The sequence below is a fragment of the Homo sapiens genome, chromosome 3 (genome assembly GCF_000001405.40).
Source record: "Homo sapiens chromosome 3, GRCh38.p14 Primary Assembly".
Taxonomy (NCBI): domain Eukaryota; kingdom Metazoa; phylum Chordata; class Mammalia; order Primates; family Hominidae; genus Homo; species Homo sapiens.
Genome location: NC_000003.12, coordinates 14,609,123 through 14,621,036, shown reverse-complemented (window position 1 = coordinate 14,621,036; position 11,914 = coordinate 14,609,123). Strand labels below are relative to the sequence as shown.

The window sequence follows — 11,914 nt, the reverse complement described above, 5'->3', positions numbered from 1 at the left end:
AGGGAGACAGATAATACCAGACCAAATCTAGTATCTGTATTTGGAAGAAAGAAACAGGATAAGGCTCAGGCAATTCCTTTACTCTCTGAGCACGGGCCCCTCTGGGGTTAATGAAGGAGCCCATGCACCTGTCTTGAGCACAGGCCTGGCATTTAGTTGGTGCTCACTAACGGTGTGTCCTTCCCCTCCCTGCCTACTCTCCGGCACAGCTGCCCATGTGACCAGCCAGGATCTACCTCCTCCCCGGCTAGAAAGCCTTGGCCATCAGGAGTGACAGGAGAATCAATAGAATTGCAGATACACAAGAAATTCCCAGAAGCAGGTTCCCGCCAACCAGATGTTCCCACGCCTTTCTCAGGCAGATTAGTGTCCTAGCAACTGGAAAAGGGGAAAACGAAGTCTGTTTTTCTCTGGGAATAGAATGGACAAAAGACATTTGTGTAAGTTCAACCTTCTGGTAAAGCCCCAGGCAGGAAACACATTTGGTGATGAGAGCATTCAGTTCAAGACCCCCTTTCATCACCGTGATGTTGACCAGGTCAATTTCCTGCTTCAAGAGCCCTCAATGGCTCCCTGTTATCCTTCAGATAAAAGAGGACTCTTGATTTTCTCCACCAAACCTGTTCCCTTGCTATCCTCCTGACCCTTCCTCATCTGATGTAGGGTGTGCCGATCACCCAGAAACCTGGGAGTCCTCCTTGACTCCTGTGCTCTCCCTCTCACGTGCAGACCATCCATGTGTGGCTGTTTCCTTCTCCATCAGTTGTCTGGCTTGACAAGGCTGCTGTGTAACAAGCAACGACAACTCTTAGTGTATGCAACAATATGCATTTGTTCATGTGTCTGGGGTCAGCTAGGCAGCTCTGCTCATCTCTGTGGGGCTCACACATGTGTCTGGGGTTTGGCTGGCTGTGGGCTGATCTAGGTTGGCCTTGGCCTGGGGCAACTCTACATGTCTCTTCTTCACCAGACTAGCCCCATGGCCAGTGATGGCGGAGGCACAAGAGTCAGCCTGCCCCCAAGGGCACAGGCCCATCTCAGTCTGTGCTGATGTCACACCTGCCGGCATTTTATGGATCAAGCAACTCATGAGGCCAAGCCCAGCATGGAGTGGGGATGCTGCGGAGTTAAATGGCAAGGAGGAGGCTGCAGGGGGTGAAGAATGAGGACCTCTGAGTGTAATCTCCCCCACCTGCTCTGCATTCCCAAACCACTGCCTCACTCCATGCCACCCACAGCTCAACTCTAGACCTCACCCAACCTCTGACTTCCACCCCACTTTCATCCCCCACTTACAGGCCATTCCCCACCCAGAATCCAAGGCAACTTCTAGAAATGTAAATCTGACTATGGCAGATTAAAATCCTGCTTAAAATCCTTCCATGGCTTTCTGTTGCCCTTGGAATGAAATTCAAACTTCTAACTGGGACCTAGAAGGCCCTTGGGATCGGGCCCTGCCATTTTTCCCAACTTCTCTTCTGACCACTGTCTAATTCCTGCTGAGTCTTCCAGCCACGGGGTCCTCACTTAGTAATGAGCTAAGGTGGCTCCCCTCTTAGGGCCCCTGTACTTGAACATTCACTGGGCCCAGACACTCTCTTCTTACCCCTCCCATGATCGCATCCCCACTCCAGTTAAATCTGCTGAAATGCCACCTCCTCAGTGAAGCCTTCTCTGATGATCCTTCCTGAAGTCAATTCTACTTCGTCTCTGTCACATCCCCTTGTTGTTTTCTCCTTACCACCCATTTGTTCATGTGGTCTGGGATCAGCTATCCCAGATAGTTTTAAACTTTTCCCCTATTTTCTTCCCTGCTTCCCACTAGAATGTAAGCCCCATGGGGGTAAGATTTTGTGCATCTTGTTCACCCTTATGCCCTATCATGTCACATAGAAGCTGGTCATTGTGGATGAAGAACTAAAGTACATGTTTCTCATTCCAGCACTCAAGGTGCTTAATATCCTGTTCCTGCAAAGACACCAGGAGGAGTGGGGGAGAGGGGAAAAAACAGCGTGGGTCTGGCCTGTCCAGGGGGATGGGGACCCACGTACAGGATGGCAGCTCGGGAGTCCATAGAGACACAGTCCCCAGCGCCACCTTCTAGAGTGACTAGGAAGTACAGTCATTTCTGAGCCCCAGTCAAACCCCAGGGACATCTATTCCACACATTTTTCATGAGCATCTTACTGTATGCTGGGAACCAGGCTAGGCCTTTGGGGACCTGAAGAGCTTTAGGGAGGACATTCTTCTCCTTCATCCGGCAAACACTTAGCAGCCCTTCTGCACCAGCCCAGTGACAGGTGTTGGGAATATCCTTGGAGACTTTTCCTGCTAGTCCTGTCTCAAGTTGGCCCATCTACCTGCCTCTTCCTGCCCATTGCTGGCCCCCTGCACCTTGGAAGCAGGGACTTCCTCTAAGACCTCCTGGCACCTGCAGCCTGGCACACAGCATGGAGCTGGATAATAGGGCACTGTTGAAGACTGAAGTGGACCCAGGATCATTTGTTAATGATCAGATGACTGACAGTCTGCTCATTAGCATACAGTGTGACCAGGCTGCCCCGGGGAGAAAACCACCTCAGGTCTGAGGAAAGTGCTTGGCACATAGTAGGTGCCAAATCAACTTTTAATGTCCCCATCTTGGAAGCCCTTCCCCCTACCTCTCACAAACCCAGTCATGCCCTCTCCTCTATGGAACCTGCCCTTTCTCTCCTGTTGTAGTGGATACCGTTGGTGTCCCACCCAGATCCTATGCCAGATCCTGTACCCATCTCCCCACTGTTGGGAGTGTTGGCTGTGAACATCTCACAGCAGCACCTTTATCCTGCAAGTGGCCCTTAGCTGACGGGAGCCTCCCAGGAGGATGTCTGGGAAGTTGTGCTTTTCCTGTGGGATGGTGGAAAAACCTCTCTGGTATGGTTCTTGTTCCAGAGCTCCCATGGGGTCGGGTGAGGCTGGACTTTTCCTTTTCTCCTCCCTTACCGGTTTCTCCCAAGAGCTCTCCCTCAATAAACACTTGAGTACGAGTATCTGTCTAAGGCTTTGCCTCCAGGGAACCTAATCTAAGACAATGCATTTTAAATATATGTCTTTCACGTGATGTAAGGCACTTCGAGGCTTGGACCCGGAAACCCTCCCAAATCCCATCCTGTCTCCTGTTTCCCCTTTCATCAGCTTCATGTGTGTGATTGCGTTGAAACAGTGGGTCACAAGATTGGGGGAGCTGGAGCCCTGAATCCCTGCATGGGGGGTTGACTTTGGACTTTATATGAGTGAGAAATAAACATCTATTGTATTTGAGCTATTATACATGTGGGAATCTGTTTGACCCAGCAGATAACATTACTATGACTCACACACCTGAGGTTAAGTCACTTTTGACCCTCAAGTCCTGACTGATGCTGTGGAAAGAATGCGAGGCATTCCACCTTTGCCATACACACTGTGTGACCTTGTGAAGGTCATCCCACCTGAGACTCAATTTCCCCACCTCTAAAGGAAAAAATCATAAGTCCTTCCTCTGAGGGTCATTGTGAGCATTAAATGAGATAACACTTAGCCATGGTGCTGAGCCTGGCAACAAACAGGGCTTTGATAAATGCTAGCTCCTTTCCCCTAAAGGTTCGTGATGCCATCTCCTGAGTTTTGAGTCACACTTCCTGGGCCTCAGCCTCTTCATGACCATGCTGGGTGGAAGGGTCTATGGCTGTGGAAAGTGAAAATAAAATCCTAAGCTCCCAACCAACTGAATGGACCCCCTCTTGGTTAAGGGGACTCCAAAAAAAATGAGTTCCTGACTGCAATGTGATGGGAGGTCAGACCCACCTCATTCTACTCCCTCCCTGGCTAACCGCTGTGAGGCTTTCTTCCCTAAGGGCTGCACAGAAACCAGTCCTTTCAAAAGACTCGCCGCACCACTGATTGCAGCCAGCTGCCTAAAGCTGCCCTCCACTTTTGCAGTTTCAACACATAACCGGCCAGCATCCTTTCCTGATAAGAGACCACCGACCACAGAGTGGTTCTGGCCAGAATATGGATGCTGCTCAGGGAGGGTTTTTGTGTCCTCTGCTTCACCTTTTGACATCAGAAGGCCGAAAACCGCACTCTGGGATCGTGCTAATACCACCCTTTTTTTGTACCTATGACCCATGAAGGGGCTCAACTGTGCATGTGTGTTTCTTCTTTGTAATTATTCATGGCTCCTCCCATGGCTTATTGAGTATGCATATTCAGCCACCCTATTCAGCATAAATCCCTGTCTTATTCTTCTGATCTCAAAGTGCCTGTTTCCGGCTTCTGGCCAGAAGCTATGCTTCCCAGCCTGTCAGAATGGCCACCTGCAGGCTGCAACCCTTTATGAGAAATAAAGCTCTCCTTTCCAAATTTTTGAAGTTTTTCCTTCTTTAATTGATAGCTACCACAGGTTTTCAGCCAGTGTTTTCACTTGAACATGGCCACATCATACAATGTCACCCACATGTGCCTCCTCTTCAGCTGTCTCCATGGTCACTGCTCCAGTACAGGCCTCCTTGTCATCACAGGGATCATCACACCAGCCCCCGCACTGGTCTTCCTGCCACTAGCCTTGCTCCCTCCCATCCATCTTCCCAAAGGCCATAGGGTGAGGTCTCTAAAGCCCAGATCAGTCTATATTATGCTAATATTAAACAATTTTCTTTTTGCTTACAAATTTCAGTTTACTCATCTGTAAAATGGGAGGGTTGAGTAGATGAACTCCACTGCTCCTTCTATTTTCATGATTTGGAGATGTGGTCCCTACTCCTTTGGCTGGCAGATAAGGTATACTCCTTATCAGGCTCAATAGGTCTTCATTACTCTTTCTCCCATGTTCTGTGTGTGCAAATATCCTGCTCTATCCAAACTGATCTCCCTCTGGTTCCCCAGGGCCCCTTCCTGCCCCTGCCCTCTGGCCCGTGTTTCACATATCCTCCTAGCAGGCCGACTCTACCTCCTGTGAAAATCTTGCCCATCACTAAAGGCTCAGCTTAAATACCACCTTCAGCATGAAGCCTTACTTGAATTTCAACAGGATGCTACCAGATTTTTCTCTCTCCTTTAAGTCTTTACTAAATCATACAGTGGAAGGGACTGTGCCTTAATTATCGGTGTATCTCGCATGGAACACAGTCCCCTGTGCTTAATAAGTGCTCTAAAAATGTTTATCAAATTGATTCTATTGTATATTCACCATCTTACTATTTGTTTTCTATCTGTCCCACCTGTTTTGTTTCCTCTTTTTTCTTTCCTTATCTTGGATTAATCAAGAAGCAATTTTTATTACAGTTGACTTTTCATATCCGTGGGTTCTGCATCGTGGATTCAACCAACTGTGGATCAAAAGTATTTTTAAAAATTGCCTCTATACTGAACATGCACAGACTTTTTTTCTTGTCATTATTCCCTGAACAATACAGTATAATAACTATTTGCATTGCAGTCACATTCTGTTAGGTATTATATGTAATCTGAAAGTGATTTAATATATATGGGAGGATGCGCACAGGTTATATGCAAATACTGTGGCTATTTCATATCAGAGACTTGAGCATCTGCAGATTTTGGTTATCTTTGGGGAGATCTTGGCACTAATCCCCCCACCGCCAGATTCCTGGGTGGCTGTATTTCATTTCCCCCCATGTTTGTTTGTTAGTTATACATTATTTGACAATTTACTTAGTGGTTAAACCTCAATATTATAACATGCATCTTTGACTCGTTAAAGTCCAATGCAAATTTGTACTTTTGTCACATTAGAGACAATGCTAAGATCTCAGACTATTTTAACTCCATTTACACTTCTCCCATTGTTCTCATGCATTTTAATTCTACATATATTTTAAACCACAGAAGACATTATTATAGCTGTTTTTGTACAGTCAAGTTTATTTCAATTTATTCCAAATTTACCCTTCATTCCTTTCTGCATGTTCATATTTCTATCTGGGACTATTTTACCTTCCACTTGGAGAACTCCCTATAGTATTTCTTTCAGTGTGAGTCAGTTGGTAAAAATTCTTTTAATTGTCTGTGTCTTTATTTTGTCTTCATTTATAAAGAATATTTTCTCTGAGTACAGAATTTGAGGTTGGTAGTTGTTTCCTTTCAGTATTTGAGGTTGTTCTACTGTCTTCTACTTCTAGTGTTTCTATTAAGAAGTTAGTTGTCTGTGTTATTATTGATCCTTCAAAGATGATGTGTCTTTTTTCCTCTGATTGCTCTATTTTTTTGCCTTTGAATTTTAGCACCTTTACTCGTATATGCTTAGGTGTGGTTTGTCTTGTATTTATCCTGCTTAGGGCTTGTAGTGCTTATTGGAACTGTGATTTGATGTGTTTTTATCAACTTTGGAAAATTATTGATTATTTATCAGAAATATTGATAGTGCATTTTATTTGTTCTCCCCATTGGGCCTCCAGTTATGTGTACGTTAGACCTTTTCACTGTGTATCATGTATCTCTTTCCTTTATTTTCTGTTATTTTTGCTTTTTTTTTTTTTTTTTTTAAGAGACAGGATCTTGCTCTGTCACCCAGGCTGGAGTGCAGCAGCGTGATCATAGCTCACTGCAGCCTTGAATTCCTGGGCTCAAGCCATCCTCTTGCCTCAGGCTCCCAAAGTGGTAAGATTACCAGGTGTGAGCCACTGTGCCCAGCTTTATTTTTGCTTTTCATTCTGGAGATATTTTTCTGCATACTGACTCATCTTTCAATCCACTAGTCCTCTTTAGGTGTGTCCAATTGTCTCTAAACCCATCTAGTGAGTTATTGGTTTCAATTATTGTATCTTTCAGTTCTTTAATATCCAACTGATTATTTCTTAAAGATCCTAGTTCTCTGAAGAAATTCCCTATTTTGTCTCATTTTCTTGAACATACCATTCACAGTTATTTAAAGTCCATGCCTGATAATACTAATATCTGGATCACCTTTGAGCCTATTTCTACTGCCTATTTTTTTTCATTTTGTTTCTGTTTATTGGTGTGTCTGGAAAAAAAGATTTTTAAAAAATTTCATGCCAGATATTGTGCACGAAAAATTGAAGAGGATCTTCATGATGTGACCTTCCCCTAGAGAAGATTGCTGTTTCCTGTGACAGTAGATAAAGTGAGAACATATCACCTAAATCTATCACAGACTGAGCTGATTCAAGTCTGGGTTGCAACTTTTGTAAGTCTTGTTCTACCTCTGGTTCACCCATCCGGTTATAACCATCCAGTGGTCTCAACTGAAAGCCTGGGCTATTTACTAGGGCCTGTCCTTCCTGCTGGGCTCTGAACTCCAATTTTTTCTCGTAAGTGCTGTGAGACTGAAAATACCCCACTCTGCTTTTCCATTGCTTTCCCCTTAACTTCTCAGTCTTCTCTTGTACAGAGCTTAAGAAATGGTAAATGCCTAGAAGGAAAAACTGGTACTGAGGGTCAGGCTTACTTCTCTGTGTCTCCCTTCTCTCCAGGATCCTTGTCCTGATGGCTTGGTCATCCCAAACTTCATATTTGATCTCTTCAGCCCCATGAAACTACCTAGAGCTTGTTTGGCTTCTCAGTCTTTCACCCTGTGCCAAGAATTGGCAAATGCCCCAAGAGAAATTCATCTCAATGAACTTCTCTGTATCTGGAATCTTGATCCCTCAAGTCCTGAATGCCTTTGCAGGCCCCTGATACACACACACACACACACACACACACACACACACACACACACACGCATACAATGGTGTGTATATATGTACACTACATCTGGCTATGATAAAGTAGTTGGTAGCAGGCTGGTGGGTACCAAATACTTTATCACAGCCAGAAGCATATCCCTTTGGCTGTATCTAAAATGAAGAGCTTTCAAAGCCGATATGAACCACAAATCCTAAAACTACACTAGGGACTGATGGGGACATTATCAAAGTCGCATAAATAATACTTTTTTATTTTATTTAATTTATGTATTTATTATTTTGAGACAGAATCTCACTCTGTCACCCAGGCGCAATCTCAGCTCACTGCAACCTCTGTCTCCCAGATTCAAGTGATTCTCCTGCCTCAGCCTCCTGAGTAGCTGAGAACAGGTGCGTGCCACCACTCCCAGCTAATTTTTGTATTTTTAGTAGAGATGGGGTTTCACCATGTTGGCCAGGGTGGTCTCGGACTCCTGACCTCAAGTGATCCACCTGCCTCGGCCTCCAAATAATACTTTATAATAATGATTATAGATAACATTTTGAGAGCTTATGAAGTGCCAGCCAAACTGTGTAGAGTCTCGAATCCTCCCAACAGTCATCTAAGGTAGGTATTATTATTTTACTCGTTTTACAGATAAGCCAGCTGGGACTTTGAGAGGTGAAGTCAGTTGTACAAGGAACTGAATACTTGTTCTGTTAATCACAATATACTGCCACCATTGTGGGTTTTAATTTTGTCTTCTTGGGCTCCATAGAACAAGTATGCCACTTTTCCCCCTGAGTTACATGGTCAAGATGTTTTAGACTACAAATAACAAAAAAAAACTGACTGAAACTGGTTTAAACAATAATGTTAAACAGTAAAGAAAGTCTGAGATGGGTAGTTTTGATTCAGTTGTTCTGTGATACCCTTGAGAACCCAATTCTTTCCTTCTCTCTACCTTGCAATCTCTAGAAATGTCTACTTCACTCTCACAGTCTCTTACTCATTTTGACAAGGTGAATGCCACAGTTCCAGGCATCACATCTTAGCACGTGGTCATGCGGGATAAGGAAACCTTTCCCTGAAGTCCCCAAATTGACATCCCCTCAAGTCTTGTTGGACAGACTTGAGCCCTAAGCCCACTCCAACCAATCATGAACCATTATGGGGTTCCCATAACTGATATGGATCAATCTAATTTGATCCTTGGAGACTGAGAAAAGATCACCTATTCCTGCATCACTCAGATATGGGATAAGCACCTGAATAAGCCACACCCTGCCAGTAAGGAAAAAGGAGGAATAGAGAAAACACTACTGAGATGTGAAGGAAATAAACAAAAAACAAGCTTGGAGAAATGCAAATTTAAACTACAATGAGATGCTACTACACCTACACACCTATTCAAGTAGCTTTTTTTTTTTTTTTTTTTGTTAGATAGAGTCTCACTCTGTCACCAGGCTGTACTGGAGTGTAGTGGCACGATCTCGGCTCACTGCAACCTCCGCCTCCCGAGTTCAAGCAATTCTCCTGCCTCAGCCTCCCGAGTAGCTGGGAGTACAGGTGCTTGCCACCATGCCCGGCTAATTTTTGTATTTTTAGTAGAGACGGAGTTTCACCATGTTGGCCAGGATGGTCTCGATCTCCCGATCTCATGATCCATCCGCCTTGGCCTCCCAAAGTGCTGGGATTACAGGTGTGAGCCACCGCACCTGGCCTCAAGTAGCTTTTTTAAAAAAGAAAAAGCCCTAAAAATACCAAGTATTGGTAAGGATGTGGAACAACTAGAACTCTCATACAATTTTGTTTGTTTGTCATAGAGATGGGGTCTCACTATGTTGCCCAGGCTGGTCTCAAACTCCTGGGCTCAAGTGTTCCTCCTGCCTCAGCCTCTCAAAGTGCTGAGATTCCAGGTGCCAACCACTGGAACTCTCATACATTGCTCCTGGGAATGCAAAGTGGTACAGCTACTTTGGAAGATAGCTTGGCAGTTTCTTATAAAGCTAAACTTCATTTATCATATGATCTATGAATTCCACTCTGAGTTATCTCTACAAGAGAAATGAAATCTTATGGTCATGAGGCAGGAGGCAGGACTTTACTCCAGACCAGATTGAAGATTGGCTAAAACAGGGAAAAGGTGAAAAATCACCTCTCCAAAAGACATACCCAGTGCCATATCAGTTTACCATTAACATGGCTATACCCAGAAGTTACTGCCCCTTTCCATGACAGCAACCCAGAAGTTACCACCCCTTTTCTAAGAAAATTCTGAATAATCTGCTTGTTAATTTGCATGTAATAAAAAGTGGGCAGAATTGCCCCTGAGCTGCTACTCTCACGAGCTTTAAAAATGCTGCCTCAATAAAGCTGTTTTCTTCTACCACCAGCTTGCTCTTGAATTATTTCCTGAATGAAGCCAAGAAGTTTCCTGGACTAAGCCCCAATTTGAGGCTCACCTGCCCTGCCACAGCCACACAAAAAACTGTACATGAATGTTTATAACAGCTGAGATGGGGAGTTTTCTGGGTTTTAATTCAATTGTTCAGTGATATCCTTGAGGACCCAGTTCTTTCTTTCTCTCTGCTTCCTAATCACTAAAAACTGGAAATAACCGAAACTGTCATTCAGTTGGTGAATGGACAAACAAACTATGGTACATCCATATGATGGAATATAACTTCGCAATTAGAAGGTATATTAGTCCGTTTTCTGTTGCTTATAACCAAATACCTGAAACTAGGTAATTTATAAAGAAAAGAAATTTATTTCTTCCAGTTCTGGAGGCTGTGAAGCCCAAGGTTGAGGGGCTGCATCTGGTGAGGGCCTTCTTGCTGGTAGGGACTCTTTGCAGAGTCCCAAGGTGGTGCAAGGCATCACATGGCAAGGGGCCGAATGTGCTGGCTCAGGTCTCTCTTCCTCTTCCTATAAAGCTCCCAGTCACACCCCTATGATAACCCACTAAGCCATTAACTCATTAATCCATGGATGGATTAATCCACTTGTGAGGACAGAGCCCTCATGACCCAATCACCTCTTAAGGACCCCATCTCTCAATACTGTCACATTGGGGATTAATTTCAACATGAGTTTTGGAAGGGACAAATATTCAAACCACAGCAGAAGGAATAAACTACTTTCATCTACAACAACATGGATGAATCACAAATGCATTATGCTAAGTAAAATAAGCCAGACTGAAAAGGCTCCATACTGTATGATTCCATTCTGGGAAAGATATGACTGTGGAACCAGTAAACAGATTAGGAGTTGCCAGGAGCTGGGGGTGAGAGGAGATGTTGACTACAAAGGGGCTTGGGAGAATTTTAGGAGCAGTCAAACAGTTCTATATGTAGATGGTGTGGTGACTACACCAATGTATACATTTGTCAGAACTCACAGAACTGTGCACTAAAGAGGGTGAATTTTACTTTATGTAAATTATACCTTAATTAAAAAAAATTACTAAGCTGAAAACTTAGATTTTAAAACACCAAACTCTTTCTAGATAAAGTCTATAAAAATCCATGTGAGACAATAGAGGTAAAACAAAGGAAGAAACAAAACAAGCTTGGTTATGTGATGTAAGTCATAAAAATAATTTTTAAAAGTGGACATTTAGGCAACACTTACTGTGTGTCAGGCTTTGTGCCAAGCAGTTTGCTCACATTGGCTCATTTCATCCTCATGGCCAGTCCCAGAGCTAGGGAGGTAGGTTCCTATCTTATATATGAGACCACCAAGGCATAAAGAAGTCAGGAAACTCGCTCAAAGCCGGACAACTAGAAAGTATCAGAGCCAAGCCCGGCAGCCACTCTCTCTGGCTCCTGGTGGATCACCTGAGGTCAGGAGTTCGAGACCAGCCTGGCCAATGAGGTGAAACCCTGTCTCTACTAAAAATGCAAAAAATTAGCCAGGCATGGTGTTGCATGCCTGTAATCCCAGCTACTTGGGAGGCTGAGGGAGGAGAATCACTTGAACCCGGGAGGCGGAGGTTGCAGTGAGCTGAGAGCACGCCACTGCACTCCAGCCTGGGTGACAAGAGTGAAACTCTGTCTGAGAAAAAAAAAGAGAGAGAGAGATACACATCTTTCTTAACCACAGAGCCTCCAACAAGTCACTTTCCCATGTTCAGCCTCAGTTTTGCCATCTGTGAAATGGAGCTGTTAGCATCCTTTCTTCTTTCATGGTTTTTGAAGAAAAGACCATGATTGGCTTTAAAACAAACAAATAAACAAAC

The 11,914-nt window shown here is 44.2% G+C and overlaps 1 annotated feature.

Annotated features, from left to right (window-relative positions):
• Nucleotides 490-989: an enhancer, noted in NCBI's record as "H3K4me1 hESC enhancer chr3:14661555-14662054 (GRCh37/hg19 assembly coordinates)". NCBI's record gives its function as "activates a minimal SCP1, AML or CMV promoter by ChIP-STARR-seq in primed H9 embryonic stem cells {active_cell/tissue: H9 hESC(primed)}" and the evidence as "EXISTENCE:reporter gene assay evidence [ECO:0000049][PMID:30033119]".